At 46.8% G+C, this 22,193-nt stretch overlaps 1 protein-coding gene across 4 annotated transcripts in view, besides 4 other annotated features; it reads left to right on the top strand.

The window, feature by feature from the left end:
* The window catches only part of LTF (lactotransferrin), a 49,590-nt gene extending 27,891 nt beyond the window's left edge, over positions 1–21,699 (top strand). For 3 of the 4 annotated variants that reach the window (NM_001321122.2, NM_002343.6, NM_001199149.2), the window contains 15 exons: positions 946–1,054; positions 1,366–1,548; positions 1,902–2,049; positions 2,984–3,039; positions 6,671–6,849; positions 7,316–7,490; positions 8,327–8,481; positions 9,946–10,036; positions 10,851–10,904; positions 11,908–12,063; positions 13,762–13,903; positions 15,861–15,928; positions 17,864–18,048; positions 19,215–19,404; positions 21,115–21,699. In NM_001321122.2, coding sequence (NP_001308051.1) covers positions 946–1,054; positions 1,366–1,548; positions 1,902–2,049; positions 2,984–3,039; positions 6,671–6,849; positions 7,316–7,490; positions 8,327–8,481; positions 9,946–10,036; positions 10,851–10,904; positions 11,908–12,063; positions 13,762–13,903; positions 15,861–15,928; positions 17,864–18,048; positions 19,215–19,404; positions 21,115–21,149 — 1,926 coding nt within the window. In that variant the 3' untranslated portion in view covers positions 21,150–21,699. The remainder of the gene's footprint in view (positions 1–945; positions 1,055–1,365; positions 1,549–1,901; positions 2,050–2,983; positions 3,040–6,670; positions 6,850–7,315; positions 7,491–8,326; positions 8,482–9,945; positions 10,037–10,850; positions 10,905–11,907; positions 12,064–13,761; positions 13,904–15,860; positions 15,929–17,863; positions 18,049–19,214; positions 19,405–21,114) is intronic. The other variant, NM_001321121.2, reaches the window with a different exon arrangement.
* Positions 630–1,129: an enhancer, noted in NCBI's record as "H3K4me1 hESC enhancer chr3:46497705-46498204 (GRCh37/hg19 assembly coordinates)". NCBI's record gives its function as "activates a minimal SCP1, AML or CMV promoter by ChIP-STARR-seq in naive and primed H9 embryonic stem cells {active_cell/tissue: H9 hESC(naive and primed)}" and the evidence as "EXISTENCE:reporter gene assay evidence [ECO:0000049][PMID:30033119]".
* Positions 1,130–1,631: an enhancer, noted in NCBI's record as "H3K4me1 hESC enhancer chr3:46497203-46497704 (GRCh37/hg19 assembly coordinates)". NCBI's record gives its function as "activates a minimal SCP1, AML or CMV promoter by ChIP-STARR-seq in primed H9 embryonic stem cells {active_cell/tissue: H9 hESC(primed)}" and the evidence as "EXISTENCE:reporter gene assay evidence [ECO:0000049][PMID:30033119]".
* Positions 6,446–6,945: an enhancer, noted in NCBI's record as "H3K27ac hESC enhancer chr3:46491889-46492388 (GRCh37/hg19 assembly coordinates)". NCBI's record gives its function as "activates a minimal SCP1, AML or CMV promoter by ChIP-STARR-seq in primed H9 embryonic stem cells {active_cell/tissue: H9 hESC(primed)}" and the evidence as "EXISTENCE:reporter gene assay evidence [ECO:0000049][PMID:30033119]".
* Positions 14,027–14,528: an enhancer, noted in NCBI's record as "H3K4me1 hESC enhancer chr3:46484307-46484808 (GRCh37/hg19 assembly coordinates)". NCBI's record gives its function as "activates a minimal SCP1, AML or CMV promoter by ChIP-STARR-seq in primed H9 embryonic stem cells {active_cell/tissue: H9 hESC(primed)}" and the evidence as "EXISTENCE:reporter gene assay evidence [ECO:0000049][PMID:30033119]".

The raw sequence follows: 22,193 nt of genomic DNA, 5'->3' as shown, positions 1-22,193 counted from the left end.
TTGGGGGAAATTATTCAATACACGATAGAACACCCACATTATGAGAAAACATTATGCTGTCTACAAAATCAGTAAAGGCTCTGCAGAAGTTAGAAAATGTATCCAGTTTTAGAGGAATAAGCAGTCCACAAAATATGATGTATCCCAGGGGTCCCCACCACCTGGCCACGGACTGGTACCGGTTGATGGCCTGTTAGGAACTAGACCTCAGACCAGGAGGTGAGCAGAGGGCCAGTGAGCATGACTGCCTGAGCTCCACCTCCTGTCAGATCAGCGGCGGCATTAGATTCTCATAGGAGTGTGAACCCTAGTGTGAACTGTGCATGCGAGGGATCTAGGTTGCACTCCCTATGAGAATCCAATGCCTGATGATCAGAGGTGGAACGGTTTCATCCCAAAACCATTCCCCATCTGTCTGTGGAAAAATTACATTCCCTGAAACTGGTCCTTGGTGGCAAAAAAGTTGGGGACCACTAAACTATCCCACATTGCAAACCAAAGAAATATGTAATCATGTGGGAAGCAATGTGCTGAAGCGGAGGAACATGGTTTCTTATGAAAATTTTAGGATAGCTTAATAACTATATTTTCTATCCAATAAAACAGAACTTAAAAGAAATGAATATAGAGCAAAAATAGAAAGTATCTAGAACAAACGACTTCAAATATAGATGACTGTGAGGGGTGTGATCGGGAGAGTGACACAGGCAGGCAGAGGAGAAAGAGGGCAGGCGCCAGTCTCAGGACTTAGAGGGCTGGTGCTCACTGTCCCAAAACAGGGGTCCTTGGCTCTCACCATCTCTCATAGGAAGTGAGGGGACAGGATGGAAAGCGGACCCCTTTGACGACCCTTCCAGCCATGGAGACTTTTTGAGGTCCTGAAGTCCCACTTGCTGGGTTTGGGTGAGTTTTCTGCTGAAGCCAGTCTGGCCTCTTTACTTTCAGGAAAACAGGGCCGATGCTGTGACCCTTGATGGTGGTTTCATATACGAGGCAGGCCTGGCCCCCTACAAACTGCGACCTGTAGCGGCGGAAGTCTACGGGACCGAAAGACGTGAGTTCTGCCTGGGGACCCAGAGGCCACGGTGGCCTCAGCCTGTGCCCTGAGCTGTGTGGATTAAGACTGGGGGAACATGTGGAGGTGGAGTCTGGGTCACATCACACATGTAGGGAATGGAGTCGCTGGGCTCTGGGCCAGATGAAGGCCGTTCCTCCTGACGCTGACCCACGAGAGGAGGACACACGTGAGCTGTGAGGAAACTGCAGCACAGCATTCCCCCTTCCCACCGGAGACTTTTCAGGATGGGTTGTTTTTGTCCCTCTTGTCCAGGCTAAGAACTTTCAATTCTGTCTGCCCCTTTGCAGAGCCACGAACTCACTATTATGCCGTGGCTGTGGTGAAGAAGGGCGGCAGCTTTCAGCTGAACGAACTGCAAGGTCTGAAGTCCTGCCACACAGGCCTTCGCAGGACCGCTGGATGGAATGTCCCTATAGGGACACTTCGTCCATTCTTGAATTGGACGGGTCCACCTGAGCCCATTGAGGCAGGTAAGATGGCTGGGGGATAGTGAGTGGCCTCAGGCAGGGGGCTCTATTCCAGTTGTAAGCACAGGCCACACAGATCATGCAGGTGAAAGTGTGGGATGAATCAAGGTGGGGGTGAGGCTGGCCAGCTTGTAACATCCTGCTGGCAGGATCCGTTACCCTAGCAGCCCTTGGGAGGCACAGCTGAGTCTGCTCTCGGCAGAGGTGCATGTCTCGAGCTCCCAGCCCCATGACAGAGTCTCTCCTGCAGGGGTGGAGGAAGGGGCCTTGCCCACGGAGACCTCAGGATGGGAGGTGTAACCTGCTGTGACCAGGGCTGGCTCACACTCTGTGGTCCACTTCTCTGTGTTTAACAGCTGTGGCCAGGTTCTTCTCAGCCAGCTGTGTTCCCGGTGCAGATAAAGGACAGTTCCCCAACCTGTGTCGCCTGTGTGCGGGGACAGGGGAAAACAAATGTGCCTTCTCCTCCCAGGAACCGTACTTCAGCTACTCTGGTGCCTTCAAGTGAGTGACCCTGTCCCCTTCTCGTCAGTGGCCAAGTGTCCCTTGGCCTCAGGCCGGGAGGCCTTTTCTCTGGCCCCACATAGAGCCCAGCCTGCTCTTGGGGACGAGAGGAGGTCTGTTCTCCTACTGCTGTGTGTCCAAAGAGAGTGCAGGCCTGCCCAGTGTGTGTTCCCCTCCAGCCTTCCGGGCCCAACTGTGCCCCCAACTTCTCACCAGCCCCACGGGCAGTCACTGTGGCTGTGGGCCCTCCTGTTACCTCAGAGAGCCCTGAATCCAACTTGGCTGCCCTGTTGTCCTGGGTTCCTCATACTAATTTCTGCCGCCTGCCTAACCACAGCAGGACTGAAGGCATCTTGTCATGAGATGTCCAGTCCTGGCTCCTGGTTGGGCAGGACCGCTGCAGTGTCCAGGCTGATGTCCTTCTGCCCACCTGGGCCTCTCCCCGTGGCTGAAGGACAGTGAGCAATGCCTGATTCGCCCCCATCCTCTCTGCCCCCACGCGGAGGCTGAGCTCCCCCTTTTCCCATTCTGTCTGCTGGCACTAGCGTATTTTTGCAGAGGGAGGCCTCCACACTTCCCCACTGGCCAGGGCACACCTGCACACTCAGTCCTGAGGAAAACAGCCACATGAACAGTGATGCTAAGGCTTTACCCTCTTGGGTAGAGGCTTCAAAACTCTCCTTTATATAGAAAAAAGTTTTGTCCTCTTAGCCCTCAAAGCAGAAGATGGGGGCCTCTGGCTAGCACCTGAGTCATTCTTCAGTATCTACCTGGAGGGGGCCCCTACCTTCCCAGCTGGGATGCCCCAAAGCTTCAGAGCCCTGCCCTGCAGGGAGTAGAAACCCATAGATGCTGAGTGCCAGGGCTACTGTTCCACAGGGAGGGGCTGGGGAGGGCTGCCTGTGCTTACCCCTGATGGTTTCTCTTTTCACAGGTGTCTGAGAGACGGGGCTGGAGACGTGGCTTTTATCAGAGAGAGCACAGTGTTTGGTAAGAGCAGGGTAATGAGCCGTGGGTACTGACCCCTTTTATCTTACTTGATCATGACTCTGACCTTTGAGCTAATTAGATTCCTAAGTTCATGGCAGACCATTTTCAAGATTCCTACAGGGCACAGCTCTGATTTTATGATCTTTCATATTTTAAATGATCAGTTTTCTTCAAACCTCCTGTGCCTACTGCCTTTCTCTTCCCCTCATAGACACCCATGCCTAGGTGCTTGGCAATGCGTCCTCCAGTCCTCCAAGACACATGTGCTCATGCAGAACAGATTGTGCTGGTTTGTGTTTCCGGTTTCTGGGTTCATAGAGGTTTTAGTGAGCATTAGAAATCCTGCTACTTGGGTTTTCTGCTCAGCATTTTGTTTTAGAGGTTTATCGGTATTGTTGTATACATGTCTAGCTCAGGGGTCCTAACAGTTGAGGAGTGTTCCGTGGAATACATCCACCTTTTACTTCTCTGTCACCATAGTGATGGACAGAGGTTGTGCTCTCTTTTCCTCTACCACATGCAGCCACACGACTGATACCTTCACCTGTGTTCCTTACTTACGTGCTGGACAGCGTCCCTCCTGGACTTATAATAAAGCAGTTGATGAGTATGTAGAGGCTAAACACACTGCACCCAGGACTAGTGGACATAAGCTCACTACATTTCATGCAAGACCAATAGAGACAGGGCTACTATATTCCACCCAGGGCCACTAGAGAAAGTGACAGACACCCACATTCACTCAGGACCATCAGAGACACACCCCACATCCACCCAGGACCACCAGAGAAAGAGACAACACCCACATTCACCTAGGACCATCAGAGACAGACCCCGCATTCATCAGAGGCCACCAGAAACAGACCTCCACATGCACCCAGGGCCACCAGAGACAGACCCCACATGCACCCAGGATCACCAAGCTGCTGTCTGGAATGACACTCTGCAAGTGTTCTAATTTCCCCACAACTTCAGTTAGAAGTATTTTTGACTTTCATACTTTTTGTCCGAATGATGGTTGTAATGCAATAGATAGTTCGTTTTATTTTTAATTTTCATTTCTCTGACAGCTGGTGAGTTTGATCATTTCAACATATTTGCTAGCCGTTTGGGCTTCCCTTTCTTATTTTGTGACATTTGACTACTTTTTAAATTGAGTTTCACACCTTGTTTCTGCATGATTTTGATTCAAGGACAGAAGTTCCTTCTATCTAGGTATCAAACTATTGCTGATTTTAAACTTTAGTAAAACCTCTTCTCAGTCAAAAATCTGACAACGGTAGTCTCTGTTGATCAAAAATCCTTGATATTGATAAGGTCAAATCCACAAGCCTCACCTTGTTGGTTTGTAGTTTTGAGATATTTCAAAGATGCCCTTCTTCACACCCAAATCATAATTATTTCCTAAAATAAGATTTGAAGATCCCCTTCCTCATCTATTTATATGTGCTCTACCTAGAAAGTCAGATATAGATTTGGCTTTAGCATTTTATCCCCTTTACAGTGAGGCAATTTACCTTACAATAAAAAAAGTATATTTTTTCTGCCATATGTGAAGCCAATTCTACACCAAGTTTGTATATATCCAAGTGGACCAGTTTCTGAGCTATTTTATTTCATTGGTGTATTTGCATTTTTTCTGCTTTTGTTACTGTGGCTTACCAATGGGTCTTACTATCTGGTGGAGAGAAAGAGAGAGAGCCAGTGAGAGGAAGAGAGAGAGAATGAGAGAGAGCTCCCTCTCCCCTCTCACTTTATTATTCCTTTTCAAATATACTCAGCTAAAACTTCAGAATTATTTTGTTGAATTTCTGGAAAAAATCATACTTTAATTTTGATTCGAATTGTACTGAATTTAAATTGTTCCATGAAAAATCAGCATATTTATAACATTAAGTTGTCCAGTCCATGGTGATGCTAAATCTCCCCCATTTGATCACACCTCTTTTTAGTTTCTTTGATAGAACTAAAATTTTTCCTTTGTGGGTCTGATGTGTCTTTGTGGGAGGCTAATTATTAGCTACTTAATGGTTTTAGTTGCTATTGTAACATCTTATAGTCCATATTGGTTTCTATTTGGTTATTGTTAATGAGGATAACATCTGATTTTTGTAGGTTGCTCTTATAACTTGTTACTCCTCTGAGTAGTTTTATTAGTTTCTGTTGGTTTCATTGGTTTTTTGTAGATGACGATATCATCTTTTTAAATAAGAGTGTGTCTTTTTCCTTCCAGTGTTTATATCTCACATTTCTTTTGTAAATTGTGTGATCTGGATATCTAGAATTGTGCTGGCATTGTAACAGTGGGCATCCTTGCCTTGTTCCTGATTTTGCGGTGAATGTCTACATTTTCTTCTTTTAGTAAGGTTTTTGCTGTAGATTAATGGCATTTATCAAGCCAATAACTTATGGCCAGGCGTGGTGTCTCACCCCTGTAATCCCAGCACTTTGGGAGACTGAGGCGGGTGGATCACATGAGGTCAGGAGTTCGAGACCAGCCTGGCCAACATGGTGAAACCCCATCTCTATTAAAAATACAAAAATTAGCTGGGCCTGGTGGCGTGCGCTTGTGGTCCCAGCTACTTGGGAGGCTGAGGCAAGAGAATCTCTTGACTCCAGGAGATGGAGGATGCAGTGAGCTGAGATCGCACCACTGCATTCCAGGCTGGGCAACAGAGTGAGACTCCGTCTCAAAACAAACAAAAAAACTTTACCGATTCTATCTATTACTATTTTTCTGAGGCTGAAAAAAAAACCACACACAAATAGATGTTGAACACATAAACAATCGTTCTGCATCTATTAAGATGAAGACGATCTCATGGTTTTCTGCCATTAAATGCAGATTACTTTAGTTTTTTTGATGTTCAGCCATTCTTTTGTTAATGGAATACACTGGTAAACCTTCATTCCAATCTATTAGCTTTTTAAATACTCTGTGAGATTGAGTTAGTTAGTACGTTATTTACAAATTTTGCATTTATGTTCGTAAGTAAAATAAACTTTTAATTCTTCCCTCCTATACTTTTTCTGATTTTGACATCAAGGTTGTACTAATCTCATAAAATGACTCGGGCAAGATTTTTTTCACTTTACACATTCTGAAGCAACTTATATATGATATTCCACATTTGCCTGAACTCATTCATAAAACCATTCTTCCCCTTCTTTTGATATACTCAGTGTTGGAAAGTGTCTCACCTTCCTGCCTTATTCCCTGCCTTGTTAACATTTTTGTCATTTTTATTCTTCCCAGAGATGTGAGTAAGGGAGCAACCCTTGGTGGCCCCCTGAGCTTGTCTCTGCAAAGTGACTTTTCCAGGCAGAGATGCCGCAGAAACAGACGGGTCTGGTTTGGCCTCTCTGGCCTGCCAGGCAGCAGCTGCACGGGAACCCCAGGGTGGCCTAAGTGATTTAGGATGAGGATCACACCTCGGCTGCCCCCTGAGGCTTTTGGGGCACTACCTTTACCTTTCTGAGTGTTCTGGAGCAAACCCCTGCCTTTCTGACCCTCAGTTTTGTCAGCTATCTCCCCAAGCTCAAAATTCTATAGGGAGAAGGGGAACTATAGCTCGAGGTTACTGCTGGAGTCGGCTTATCTAGACTCCCTCCCACCTCACCTTCCCTGCAGAGGACCTGTCAGACGAGGCTGAAAGGGACGAGTATGAGTTACTCTGCCCAGACAACACTCGGAAGCCAGTGGACAAGTTCAAAGACTGCCATCTGGCCCGGGTCCCTTCTCATGCCGTTGTGGCACGAAGTGTGAATGGCAAGGAGGATGCCATCTGGAATCTTCTCCGCCAGGCACAGGTATCTTCACCCACGGTCCTCCCCACTTGCTTGGATATGGGGGGCAGGGAGCAAGGTTTCTTACTTCCCTGACTTCTGCCACTCCAGAAGTCCTGTAGCTTTGCTGCAGGATAGCACACTAATGCATTGGGCTGCTTGCCCAGGCTGTACTGTGGACAGCAGAAGCAATGAAACTCTTCTGTCACACGGGCTGACAGCGTCTTATGATGGGAGCAGAAGCAGGGGGTGGTCGATGCAATCTTCTCAGGGCCCTAAGGTGCTTGGACCTCAGCAACTCTTCAAAGAATGAGCCATAGCTGAGCTTGGGTCTCCGAGATGGCACAAGTCCCTCTGCAGGAGGGTCTCAACCGAGGCTCCTGCTCTCAGTTAGAATGATCCCAAAGCTCCAGATACTCTTTTTTAACATCATTTTTTTGTTTCCTCCCTATTTACCATTGACACCATAATTCTATTTTTTCTTAATTAGGAAAAGTTTGGAAAGGACAAGTCACCGAAATTCCAGCTCTTTGGCTCCCCTAGTGGGCAGAAAGATCTGCTGTTCAAGGACTCTGCCATTGGGTTTTCGAGGGTGCCCCCGAGGATAGATTCTGGGCTGTACCTTGGCTCCGGCTACTTCACTGCCATCCAGAACTTGAGGAAAAGTGAGTGAGCCCAGGAGGGTCCTGAGGTCCGCCTGGTGTGGTCTTCTACTTCCCAGCAGGTGGCCCTACTTTGTGGCGGTCACTCCTTTTCCCAGACACTGTGGGGTCATCGTGGAGGTTTGATGCAGGTGTGAGTGTCTTCTGTGGATTAGGTCAGGTGTCTCTAAAAGAATAGTCTGGCCACCTGATCAGTGCACGTCAGGCTCCCCAGGCCTGGCAGAAAAATCAGTTTGCCTCCTATTAAGTGAGAAACATGAACATGAACAAAGATAGCCAGGACCCCTCCTGGATGAATCCGGGGGCCTGGATTTACCCACACTTCCCAGGCCCAGACCTTGAACTTAGTTGGGGACACCATGGTGGGGGAACTCAGCTATGGCTCCTTCTCTACTGGGGGGCTGGGGGTGGGAGTCTGGGGGAACCCAGAGGCTGCACCGTAGTTATTGGTGGTGATTGCAGGCGTTAGGGGAAGTCAGGGTTGGGCTCAAGGTCCCCTAGGCCATCTCTTGGGACTGTCACTGGTCTCTGGGTCATGGAGCGTTTATCCTCAGAGACAGAGACAATAGGCGCCTCCTGACTCTAAAGATTAATGGATAGATTAGAAGCCAGGGAACTTCTCCAAAGGAACAGAAGTGGGAAACACAGGGAGCTCTGTGGACCTGAAGAAGGGGCTTGGAGCTGAGAAGTGGAGGAGGAGAGGGTATGGGTCCACATGTCCACACATGTACTGTAGCTCCTGTTCCAGGGAGAGTCTGGGCAGGACCCTGGCTCTGGGGAGGTTGGACAACCTGGCAAAGCTCAGGTTGCCCAGCCACCTGCGGTCTTCCCTCTGGCAGGTGAGGAGGAAGTGGCTGCCCGGCGTGCGCGGGTCGTGTGGTGTGCGGTGGGCGAGCAGGAGCTGCGCAAGTGTAACCAGTGGAGTGGCTTGAGCGAAGGCAGCGTGACCTGCTCCTCGGCCTCCACCACAGAGGACTGCATCGCCCTGGTGCTGGTAGGGAGCTCCATCACAGGGGCGGGCGGTGGGCCCGGTGGAAGACCTAGGGCCTGGGCATCTGCTTAAAGTGAAGTCAACAGTCAAAGAGGCCACGGGGGCCTGGGTGAGGCAGGGATGCCTGGAGAGGTGTGCTCAGGGCCAGAAAGCATTTTAGTTTCAAAAAGCAGTTTACTGTGGGTTTCCCACTCCTCTGGTTATAAGAACAACTCAGGATTATTATAAGGAATTTGGAAAATATGGAAAGGTATTATGTTAAAACAAAACAACAACAAACCCCCCAAACCACCTGTGATCTCACACAGAGGGACAGACATGGTTAAAGTCTGGCTAATTCTCCATTCCAGTATTTCTCTGCACATCTGCAGATATGCATGCAACAATAATGAAGTGTTGCAGTATGTCGTTTTTAAGCCCTTTTCACTAAACAGCGTATAATGGGCATTCTTCCACATGAATATTTACTCTTGGAAAGCATTAATTTTTTTTTTTTTAAGAGACAGATTCTTGATCTGTCACCCAGGCTGGAGTGCAGTGGTGCGACCACATCTCACTGCAGCCTGGAACTCTTGGGCTCAAGTGATCCTCCCATCTCAGCTTCCCAAGTAGCTGGGGCTACAGGCATACGCCACCACACCTGCATAATTATTATTATTATTATTGTAGCGACAGGGTCTCGCTTTGTTGCCCAGGCTCGTCTCGAACTCCTGGGCTCAAGCAATCTTCCTGCTTCGGCCTCCCAAAGTGCTGGGATTACGGGTGTGAGCCACAGCACTCGGACGAAAACATTTTTTAAACATGCTTCCAGGATATCTTTTATGTGAATATGGCTCAGTTTAGTCATGCCCCCATTCCTCTTTGTCCCTTACTTTGCTATTATCAATAACCCTGTGGTGAGCATTCTTGAGTAGAAATCTTTGTCCACTTCTCTATTTTTAATATAGTTGTAAAAATATTACTGGGTCAAAGAGGAAGTTTCATACTACTGATGAGTCCATGATCCTGTGTTGTAGCCTGGACTTGTTCATTCTGGTGGTGGGCCAATATGACGACTTCAGCTTATGTGTTGGACAACTTCTGTGTAGCGCTTGGAGTGGAGTGCTAATGAGTTCAGATTAGATGAGGCCAGCTGTTCCCATCTGTGTCCTCAGTCAGTGAGACTGCTCCAGGAAGGTGTCCCCAAAGTGCCAGGGACACAGAAAAGGTTTTGCTCAGAGGACAGAGGATTAGTGCAACCTGTGCCTGGTCTTTCCAGTTGAATTGACAGCCCAGAAAGTAGGCAGGGCTGGGAGAGAATTAGTGGTGCACACGGTGTTTCCTCTGGCTGCTCAGTTTGAATAGTCCATCTCTTTCTGCTGTTTCACTGGTCACCTGACAGAAAACCATTCTCTCAGAGAGCTATATAGACAGGCAGGACGGGATGCAGCCTCACTGTGGTGCTGGAGATCTGCTCTGTCTTTGCAGAAAGGAGAAGCTGATGCCATGAGTTTGGATGGAGGATATGTGTACACTGCAGGCAAATGTGGTTTGGTGCCTGTCCTGGCAGAGAACTACAGTAAGTGGAGTTAGCATCCTCTGGTATATTCCCTCTGGGTCATGGGAGTGGGGCTATGAGTAATCCCATTCGGTGAATGCAGGTGAAACATTATGATGAACAGATACATTCAAAAGGGAGAATCAGGGAAAGAAGAAATGAAAGGGGCCGTGTTACCCACAAAGCCTATTGTGTTGAGAATTAACAAGGGACAGGTTGGTTTTATCTTCTTAATTTTCCAGAAGATCTCAGTGAATTATAACATACAAACAGAAAAGTGCACATAAATGTACAACTCATGGCACTTCACACACTGTACAGTCCATGCTCTCGGGCCCAGAACAAACACTGCAAGTTTCAGAAGCCCCTTATGTCCTCCTGTCCCCCGCCCCCTTACTCCTGCAAGGGAAGCCTCTCTCCTGGCTTCTAAGGTCGCAGATCTAAGTTTGCCTATGTTTTAAACTTCATGTTAAAGGAATTACACAGCATGTGTTTTTTTATGTCTGGTTTCTCTTGCTCATCGTTATGCTTTTCATCCACCTAAGTGTGTAGTTGTAGACTGTTCAGTCTCGTCGCTGTGTGAGTCTACTGTGATTATTCATCATTTGAGTGTGGATGGGCATTTGAGTAGTTTCCAGTTGGTGGCTGTGGTGAATAATGCAGCTGTGAATCTCTGTGCCATGTCTTTTGTTGAACATATAGACGCATTTCTCCTGCATGGAACTGCTGGGACGGTCTCTTTGGATTTGATTCTGCATCATTGAGATTTAAGAGTTTGTGGCTTCTCACTACATCTGAATGGATAATGATGTCTGGCTTGTCTTTATTCTTTCAGAATCCCAACAAAGCAGTGACCCTGATCCTAACTGTGTGGATAGACCTGTGGAAGGTGAGTTGGCATTAGCCACTTTCAGGGTCAAGGATAAGTTCTTGTTGCTGGAAGAGGAAGTGGCAGGAACTGTAAAAAAAACAGAAAGAATTGCAGCCCTAGAAGCTATAGGGCTTCTAGGAGCAATAATTTTAAGGGTGCAAATAATTCACAGAGGAATAGTTCTAATTAATGTTTATATTGACCTTCACACTTGGCAAAGAACATCCATATAGTCCCTCATTTTGTCATGGTCATGGAATGGGGGGTGCTACTTCCCCACCTCATGGGGATGAGGAAACAGTGGCACCGAGAGTCCCCAAGTGCCCAGGATCTCACTCACAGCCATAGGTAATACTGTGGTAGATCCTGGTCTTGACCCCGGGTCCTCGTGACCTGGGACTCGTGTCCCAGTGCTCTGTGCACCACTCCTCCTGCCCACCAGAGCTGGTGCTTGCTCAGTTTCAGAAAAGACTTGCCCTTGGTGGGTGTCTGTCAGATGCATTCTCTCAGGAGGACAACGGCAACCATGTTGAGTTCAACCAGTGCAGGGTGGGTTCAGACTCAGCTCAGGGCAGTCCCTGGGGACATGTGCCCCTGTACCCACACAGCCGTTAGCTGGCTGGATGTTGGTGCTCTTGCCTGATGCACACTGTGGTTGGTGATTTATGCACTGTTGGGGTCTCTCTTGTTGTTTATAGTGTTTGTTGCTGTAGAAGCTTACACTGAGAGATGCATTGCTGGTTTGTAACTCAGGGACATTGTGTGGCTGGTTGAAGACAGTCCCCTGTAATCACTAAAATAATCAGCTTTTCTTACTGTTTTATTTCATCAATCTCACCTTAACATAAGGCAGCAGCTTATGCTTTCTCGGTCTACCTAAAAAGGCCAGTTCTTTGAGGGAATCATTGCCTGGTGTTGCTTCTTGGCCTGTTTTGGCCTGGGCTGTAGACAGCTCCACTGGAATCCATGTGCCAGGCCTCCTGGAGGTTAAGACTTGTTTTTCTGTCATCTGTTATGCCAGGATATCTTGCTGTGGCGGTGGTTAGGAGATCAGACACTAGCCTTACCTGGAACTCTGTGAAAGGCAAGAAGTCCTGCCACACCGCCGTGGACAGGACTGCAGGCTGGAATATCCCCATGGGCCTGCTCTTCAACCAGACGGGCTCCTGCAAATTTGGTAAGGAGTTCCAAAGGTGCGGTGGGTGGGCCACCCTGGAGGGTAGGCATATTGTGCTGTGGAACCTTAGGGAAGGGAGGGGAGGGGATTTGCAGGCTGATAGTGGCCTGCAGGCCTCTTCCAGCATAAGGAAATTCTCCCTGTGGCTGCCCCCTGGAGGCGTGGGTGCACTGGGGGTTTCCCTGCACAGCACTTCCCATGCCCCATTCACCCCACCCCAAGATTAAAGATTGGAATATCTGCCTATTTCGCTGCACCCTAAGAATAAATGCAAGTTCCAAGATGTGCAAATGCTTTTTACCTCTTGGAGCTCCAGACCTAAATTCCTCTTAAACTCTGGCTTCCCAGCTTGGGGAAAGATGTCTGCCTGCCTCATGAAAGGTGACTCCTGTTACTAAGCAAAACTGACGCTTACTCTACACTGCAACGGAGCCTGAATAAGACCTCAAGAGCCTGGCTCCACCTGCTTCTGCAGTTTTCTCTCCCCACCACACCCCACACTCATCCTAGTCAGCATCAGCCACACCCTGCCTGCTGTGGGCCCCGTGGCATGGTGTGTAGCACATCCTCAATGTGACTCCCTTCTTGTATGGGCGTCTCCTAGGGCAGGGGCTCCACTGCATGGGTTTTTGATCCTGGCCGGGGCAGGCAGCTTTCACGTGGCTCTGCTCCTCACCAGCTCCATGGCAGCCTCTGAGCTGTAGGGAAACTGCCAGGATGGAATGGGAACTCCCAGCTTTTCCTGAGGTTGACACATAGTGTGGCTCTTCCAGCAGCAGTGGGAGTCTGATAATGGGTGACGTTTGCTCAGTGGGGCAGAGCTTTCTTGTCACCTTTGTTTATTCTTTCTTGGGTTAAATCACACAATGAACGAATTCAGATCAGGTTCAGCTGCAAGGAACAGAAAACTCCTGAAATAGTAGAGGCTTAAACAAGACAGAAGTTAATTTCTGTGTCATGTAGTCCAGAGGTGGTTTGCCTAGGGCTGGTATGAAGACAATATGGGGTCTGGAACCTGGGCTTTAATCATTTGGCTACTCTGCCATTTGTGTGGCTTTCATGCTCAAGGTCACCTCATGGCCCACATTGCATCTCTAAGTCCAGTCCCTGCTTCTGCATTCTATGTGCAGGATGAAGAAAGAGAAGGAGAAGAAAGGGCAAAAGGCATGTACCAATTGTCTTTCAAGGATGTTTCTGAGAAGCTGGCGCCCAACACTCCTGCTGATATTTCACTGGCCTATAGCTACCCATATGGCCATATGAGCCCCAGGGAGTCTGATAAGTCTAGTCTTTATACCAAAGGGCCAAGCACCCAGATACAAAGCAGGGTTTCCATTACTGATAAAAACAAAATCAGATCCTGGACTAGGCAACTCACAGGCTCTGCTGCACACAGCCATCACGGTCATGAGCTGAGTCCCCAGCTCAAGGCTGTGATGACGGGACCCTCCAGGCAGCCACAGCTCTCATCCCCAGCCTTAGTTGGGTGTCCATCTGTGCCTACAGTCTGAATGAAGCTTTTCTGGTGGGTCCTATGTTGGTGACAACATGTTGCTTTGTGATGGTGAGTGTGTTCTATCTAGATTGCTGTCCTGGGAAGTCTAATGAACTGAAACCACCCTGCATCGGCTGTTAGGTAAAGGTTGCTTGTGTGGACTCAGGTTTGAAGAGCTGACTCCCCGTGTTCCTTCTCTCCAGATGAATATTTCAGTCAAAGCTGTGCCCCTGGGTCTGACCCGAGATCTAATCTCTGTGCTCTGTGTATTGGCGACGAGCAGGGTGAGAATAAGTGCGTGCCCAACAGCAACGAGAGATACTACGGCTACACTGGGGCTTTCCGGTGAGTCTGTGACTGAGCTCCATCAGGATGGGGACTTACCTCATCCCTCAGCATGTCAGCATTGCAGTTCTAAGGAGCCAGATGTGACCTGTCACAGCAGAGTGGGGGTCATCCTGTGGGTCAGCTCATGGGTGGCCCCAGTGAGGGCTGTCCCCACCACACCCACCGCCCCAGAGAGTGGAGGCTGGCACCAGGGCTGTCTGACCTCAGCTCCGCAGTGCTTCTCCCTGTGGCTTTGAGCCAAGATCAACAGCAGTAGGCCTCAATAGCCTCGTCCTGAAAATCAAATGGGTAGAGTGTGGTATCCTAAGTGCTTCCTACAATTCCATTTATGGGGAAGAATTCTCTTTCCCATCGCCGCCCCTTTTCTTCTCACCTAGGTCATGACTATGGCTTAGGTTTCCCTTTTTCTCTGACTTTGGCCTTAGAAATGGCAAAGAGATGGCAGAATTGCAGTGTTATTCTCCAGTAACGAAGTGAAAAATAAGCCAAAAAACAAGTTTTCAGAATTCATAAGTTATAACCACTTAGTGACTTGTAACCACACCCCACGTTTTACAGCACCATTCATCCGGGTGTTGCTTCTCAGGGGCACTATTTACCAGTGTGAAGGGTGCAGAGAGGATCTTCCCCTGTTCCTTTTCCTCCATTTGCCAAGAGTACATTTCACGACCAGATGGCGTCATGTGTCTGAGGGTGTCTGAACTTTTTAATATAAATTCAACAGCCTTGTTCCAGTAATGGAATGACAGAAAAGTAGCTTTTGCTATATAAGTGGCTCATAAAAAAAGACCCAAAACAAAAAAAAATGTTTTGTGAATGTATAAAAATATCTTTAAGGGACTAAGGATTTGCAAATGGAAATGTGATTCTACTCAGAAATGCTGAACACATGTCTCATAAGAGCCCGAAAGAAGCATGTGCTCCTCTTTTTTTTTTTTTCAGACCTGCAGCAAGGTATTAGTTCACTGGAAACACCCACATTTTAATATTCCTAATTATACTGGAAGAAAATCCCTTGTCTTTTGTTTAAATTATATCTAGAATCTAGATTGGGGAAATTTATAGCAAAATCATTAAAAGCTGAAACCAGTGTCATACCCCTTTATTTCTATCATCCTTATAATGCTGGTTCTTAATTTTTAACTTTCTGCTGACTCTGTAGTATAGAAGAAGATCTAGCCTCTCACACTGCCCCCAGCACCTTTTCCACCACACAACCACAGACTTCAACTCTCTTCAGCACCCAACACGCTAATGTCATATTCAGTACTTATGACTGTGTAAGCGTTATTCTCATATTATATTTCCCTTATTGTACAAACTTTTTGTTTACTCTGGAGTTCATAAATGTCTTTTCTTATTTGCTTAATTTTCTGCACTTAAAAAAACACATCACTATCTCATCCCCAAACTGTCTGCCAGTAATGTAAATCTCCTAACAACATGCATACACACACACACACACACACACACACACACACACACACACACACACACACACACTCTCTCTCTCTCTCTCTCTCTCTCTCTCTCTCTCTGGGTGCTATCACAGTTTCATCATTTACTTGGAAGTGCTGCTCCAGAAGGCATCCATCTTCCTGCTGCAGTTTGGACTGGTTGCTGTGTAGGCCGCCTGCACATCTGTGGTCCTGGGGGTCCTGTTGACCATTATTTTGGTGCTTTCCTTTGTCTTACTTCATGTTAGATTGCCTGTTTCCTGGGTCGCATATCTTTAGATTTCTTGGTTTTGTAATGTCTTTTATATAGGGTTTTAAAAGGAGGGCAGGTACACCTGTGTTCAATCTGCCGCTGTAAACAGTAAATTCCTAGAAATAGTTGTCTTTTAGATGTTTACTTCCATATTTCAGTTTTTGGAATGCATATTACAAATATTTATGAAAGCCCCACTAGTTTCTCTTCTGTAATTATGTGTATATTTTCTGGAACATTTTAGGTGCCTGGCTGAGAATGCTGGAGACGTTGCATTTGTGAAAGATGTCACTGTCTTGCAGAACACTGATGGTAGGTGAAGGTGTTTCCTTTTCTCCTTCAAAGCAGAGTCTTTGGCATCACAACACATCTTAGTGTTCAGATTTGCCTTTGGGAAGGTTTTATAACATTTTCCATATTTGTGATTAAAAGAACTCCAAAATTCTTTATCTCAATAGACAACATGATAACATCTGTAGGTGTCATATGGATTTTGAAACGAAATTCATACACACACACTCTCTCTCTTTCTCTCACACACACACACACACTCACTCTCACACACACAGATACTAGCCATGCTCAGTAGCAAATGTCTCCCTGGCTTCCTCTAGTCAACCACAGAAACACACTGTCTGCCCACATGAGATCATGCATGCCTATTGGAAACTGTGGATGATGCTACAAACTGGGTGAACATATGCAAATGAAGCCTCCCTTTATGAAAAAGGAAGTAGAGGCCTTCATTCATCCCCATGTGAGCCTTGGTCTGGAGACTCCTTGGGAGTTAGTGGGAACAAAATTACAGGTGGTTGCAGATGATGGAAGATAATCTTCCAGCCAATGTTTGAACAATCACTCTCTCTCCTGGTCCTCAGCCATTTGCTACCTTCCAATCTGCATCTGTCTCCTTAGCCCCACTTCAGCATTCCAACCCCCAAGTCTCAGCAGGTGACTTGCTATTCTGTTTCCTGAGAAAGAACTGTCTCCACTTTCGGCCTCCCTCCTTCAGTAATCACTGCAGTCTCAGCCACTTCTCCCTTCTGCTTCTGCTCCTTCTAGTGTCTCTTGGGACAGAGATTAAAACAAGACATGTAAATTTGAAATTATTTCAATATCAAATAGAGGAATCCAAGAGAATGAATAAAGTGCTTTCTTAAAGGGAGAGAGCAGAGAGACAAACGGGAGCCGGAACAATGAGCCGGCATCTGCACAAACATAGACATGCATACAATTACATTTAGAATTTACAAGCCATTAACTGAAGTAATCTCCAGGGATCAGATTGATGTCAAATTTAATTTTAACTTTCTCCGGTACTTTACAACTGTATTTTGTTAGAATTGGCTGTATATATTTGATAAACCTATAAAAGTTCCTTTCCTTTCTCTGGTTACACTAATAGCATTTGAATATGAAAGGGAGGAGAAACCAATTTCTCCTTGAATGTAAACCATCTATTCTTTTTCTGGAACTCACTGAAAAATATGGCATAGGTGGAGGGTTTTCTTCTTTAAAAAAATAAGAACTCTAAACAGCTTTATTGAGGTAGAATTCATATACTAAAAAATCCACCCATGCAAAGTGTACAATTCAGTGATCTCCAGCACATTCACAGAGTTGTGCAGCCATCAACACAATCCAACTCTAGAACGCTTGTATCCTCCCATAAAGAAACCCTTGCACCTATTATCAGTCATTGCCCTATCCTTCTTCAGCATTGGCAACCATCAATCCACTTTCTGTCTCCATAGGTTGGCCTATTCTGGACATTTCATATAAATGGAGTCATATAATATGTGGTGGGTTTTTTTTTTTGAGATGAGGTCTTGCTATGTTGCCCAAGCTGGTCATGAACTCCTAGCTTCAAGTGATTCTCCCACCTTGGCCTCCAAAGGGCTGGGATTACAGGCATGAGCCACCGTGCCCAGCCTATTGTGTGGTCTTTTGTGACTGGCTTCTTTCACTTAGCATCGTTTTCGAGGTTCATGCATATTGCAGGATGTACCAGAACTTCACTCCCTTTTATTGCTGAATAACATTCCATTGCATGGACACAGCACTAATATTTGGTATATTTGAAGTTTGTACAGCTTGTGTAGGATGAAGCTCCTTCTCTGTTCCTCACATCACCACAACCCCAGTGTGTGCATTTGGGAGGTCAGTGGAATGGCCACACCCACCCAGAAGAGACTTCTTGGCTAAGCAGGGGAGGCGTGGATGATGCCACCTTCTTTTTCTCCCCAGGAAATAACAATGAGGCATGGGCTAAGGATTTGAAGCTGGCAGACTTTGCGCTGCTGTGCCTCGATGGCAAACGGAAGCCTGTGACTGAGGCTAGAAGCTGCCATCTTGCCATGGCCCCGAATCATGCCGTGGTGTCTCGGATGGATAAGGTGGAACGCCTGAAACAGGTGTTGCTCCACCAACAGGTATGGACCACAGGGCTTCTAGTGCTTTCTTAGCTGTGTGGGCTCATGTTAGGTGAGGAGATCACAGAGCTAGGTGCACCAGCCCACTCGATCCTCTCTAGTCCTCTACTTGAAGCTCATGGTGAGAGTATTGGCTTCATGCTGTGGCGTTGCCCAGAGTGTCAACAAGAACAACAGAGGCTTTTGACTCTGGGCTTTCTGGGACTCACTCCATTTCTGCTGAGACTCTGTGCCCTGGCCTTGTTGCCATCACTGCCTGGCTCAGAGGCTGTCTTTTTCCCTCCTGCTGTTCTTCTGGCAAATGAGGAAGCCACTGAGCCTTCCTCCCACATGCATTAGTATAGTGCTTTTTACTCAGGTGACATTTCCTGAACCTGGGCCGAGTGAACAGTGCTCTAGGCCAGGCCTCTAAAACAGCAAACTCAGAAGGTGCCCTATAGATTTAGGGCTCTCTAAATGTGATTTGAACGAAATCCCAAAATTTTCTTAAAATCTGGGATTTTATTAGAACTTCTATTTTTATCATATAACATCATGTCTCTGTGTGCTTTTGAAGAAAACAACTCAGGAATAACAAGACTGGCCACCATAACTGGCCTTTATGGAGCTCTTAATGTGCACACACAGTGGTGCTGGTGAGAGAGCTGCCGTGACTGAGGGGTTTGGGTCTCAGTCTCCCCACATGGGAGCCTGGGACAGAGCAGGAACTGTGTGAGGGAGGCAGGGTGACCGACCTGCACACTGAGCTGGTTAGTGGCTGAGCCTGGGTTTTCCTAGCAGCCTGCCTCTCTAGAAGAGCTGCATATTAGAATGTCCTGAGCAATTGACTTGTGAGGGCAGATCTCAAAACCCCTCCATTGTTGCCTTGTCACCCATAAGAAGTTGTATGGGAAAAGGTCACAGGTTAAGAAGGAAGGAAAGATGGCAGATGGTAGGAGGTAGGACCAGAAGTGGTGCGAGGCCTGGATGCTGCCCAAGGCGGGCCTGCCACCAGGAGTGTGGGGTGGGGGACTCCACTAAGGAGGTGGAATGACTCCAGAACTCAGCTCCTTCTGCCCCATGGTTTTCTCAGGGCTGTTCTTGGGTGGAAGAAATACCCCTTTGCCTCCTTTAACCCATAAATTCCTCTTTTCCTTAGCTACTCACTGTCTGCCCTTTTGTCGCAGGCTAAATTTGGGAGAAATGGATCTGACTGCCCGGACAAGTTTTGCTTATTCCAGTCTGAAACCAAAAACCTTCTGTTCAATGACAACACTGAGTGTCTGGCCAGACTCCATGGCAAAACAACATATGAAAAATATTTGGGACCACAGTATGTCGCAGGCATTACTAATCTGAAAAAGTGCTCAACCTCCCGTAAGTAGACCCTAGCTAGCATCCCCGAGAAACCACCATGGGTGAAGGTCAAGGTTTGAGGGCCAAACAGCATTCTAGGAACGAACACAGGTGTAAAAATGTTAAGGAAAGATAATATCTCTTTACAGTTCAGGAAATTATAATCTCATTGATAAAATAATTAGAGAATAAAATAGAGCAGTATGTAATAAATTTTTATAAATTTTATAGTACGGATAGTGATGGCACTGTCATGAAATCTTTGGAAACTGATAATCCATTTTATTCAGTAAAATGAAAGGTGCATATATACATATGCATTGAGAAATGACAAAACCAGCCACGTGTGATGGCTCACACCTGTCATCCCACCACCTTGGGAAGCAGAGGTGGGAGGATGGCTTGAGCCCGGGAGTTTGAGACCAATGTGGCCAACACAGAGAGACCTTGTTCTACAAAAATAATTTTAAAAATTAGCCTGGTGTGGTGTCAAGCACCTCTAGTCCCAGCTACTTGAGAGGCTGAAATAGGAGGATTGCTTGATCCCAGAAGGTTGAAGCTGCAGTGAGCTATGATTGTACCACTGCACTACAGCCTAGGTGACACCGAAAGACCCTTCCTCAAAAAAAAAAAAAAAAAATCTGATTCTAGACAGTTACCATAGATGCCAACTATAGAGAAAACAAAATCTCAAAAAAATTCAAGTGTAGGAAAACACATCTTAACCAGGGAAATATGTTGATATTAATTTAATCCCTTAAAAATATTTAGAAGACATCACAGAGTATTGTAAGGCTCCCGGTGATAACTGTGGGATTTCAGTGTGCACAGCTCCCTGTGCACTGCAATCATTCAGATTCCTATTCCTGGTCCCTCACCCAGAGTTGGGGGCATTAGGGATGCTGTTGGTCCAAGGATGGGGGCAGGGCCAGAAATGTCTTTATCGGTAGTTTTCAATGAGAGACAATTTTTCCCCTGAGGGGATATTTGACAATGTGAGAAGCATTTTTTTGATTCTTACAACATAGAGGGTGCTGCTGGTAACAAATAGGTAGAGGCCAGGGATGCTACTAAACAAAGCACAGCCAGCCCCCTGCAATAAAGGGTTATTATCAGGCCCCAAATGTCAATAGTGCCAAGGTTGAGAAACCCTTTTCTGTATTGACAAACAACTCAGGTCACTGTGATGCAGGTCAGGACCACCCTCTGAGAAATATGGCTACAGGGCTCTTCTTGTGAGCAGCCAGCTCAGGACTGCATAGACCACATGCTTCTTGAGGGCAGGCCAGTCTATCCATGCTGTGTCCCCAGCACTTAGCACAGCAACTCACACAAAGCAGGTGCTCAGTAAGGATCTGTGAATGAATGAGTGAATCTGCAGGTGAACATGATTGCAAACAGGTTCACATTCCGGGAGAAGCTAGAGGACCACCAATGTCTTGTGAACTTGAGAATGTGACAGTCGATTCAATCAGAGACAAGTGCAGGGTGGTTGTGTCTCTCAGGCCAGAGCAGGGAAACACCCTGGCTGGTGAGGGCTAGACTCTGGCTCCCTTGAACACCGTAGTCGCTAGGAGTAGGGGAGTGGGAATATGAGTGTGGCAAGCACTGACTCAGTGATGGGAGAAGGGCAGAGAAAACTCTTAGTATTCTCTTTGATTTATTGGATTAAATAACTGGTTTAATGGAAGAAATCAGTTTCTGAATCTCTTGCTCTGTTGTGTCCCACAGCCCTCCTGGAAGCCTGTGAATTCCTCAGGAAGTAAAACCGAAGAAGATGGCCCAGCTCCCCAAGAAAGCCTCAGCCATTCACTGCCCCCAGCTCTTCTCCCCAGGTGTGTTGGGGCCTTGGCCTCCCCTGCTGAAGGTGGGGATTGCCCATCCATCTGCTTACAATTCCCTGCTGTCGTCTTAGCAAGAAGTAAAATGAGAAATTTTGTTGATATTCTCTCCTTATAAAGTGTCACTCATCTTTTCTAGAATTTTATACTGAAATCACATGCCTGACAAAATACCTGTACAGTTGGACCTTCCCTTCCAAGTTTTTCAGGTCCAGCCCCTCCTCTTTCTTGCAGTCTTGGGTATGATGCCCAAGGGTCTGGAATTTAAGGCCAGGCCAAGCACCGGTTTTCCTAAGGGGATCTTGTTGGTTATTCACATAGCTGTCTCAGTGCACGTGCATGTATGTGCCTGGGAGTGTGTGCGTGTCCCCAAGGCAGGGCAGGAAGAGCAAGCATAGGAATTATAACTGAAATGTAGGTTCAGTTGCTCATCACTTGCAGAGTCTAATTAACAAGAGCTAGGTTTGGTATAAAGTGACTTTTATTCCAAAGCTACCTTAGGGGAAGAAGTACAGGCTTCTTTCCTTAAGGGTAACTGCTTCACCTTTGGAGCAGAAAGCAGAGGCTTTTAAATGGGGGGCGTGGCATGCAAGGCAGGAAGTGAGCAGGTAGAGGGTCTGGGTACTGGCTTTGGTGCCTTGTCTACCAGGCAGTTGAGTTGGTTACTGCTGGTGCCTTTGTGGGCAAAACTAGGTTGTAAAAGCAGCCAAAAAATTTCCAGATGGGAGAGTTTCATAGCGGGCATATTTTGGCTTGTGAATTGACTGTTATGTCTCAAGGTAGTCTCTTGGTGGGAGAGAGTTCTGCTCTGTAGCGTCTAACTAAGAGCACATAGTTAGATGAACTTGCCCTGTTGGGAGTGTCTGGTGAAGGGGAGATAAAAGATTATAATTGCATTTCTAAAGAGCTAAGTAGGAAGCAGAGAAAAGGAGAGAGAAGTGAAGACAGAATAATTTTAAATAATGAAGA

This window comes from Homo sapiens, chromosome 3 (genome assembly GCF_000001405.40).
Source record: "Homo sapiens chromosome 3, GRCh38.p14 Primary Assembly".
In the NCBI taxonomy this organism is placed as follows: Eukaryota; Metazoa; Chordata; class Mammalia; order Primates; family Hominidae; genus Homo; species Homo sapiens.
This window is presented reverse-complemented; position numbering and strand designations above follow the sequence as displayed.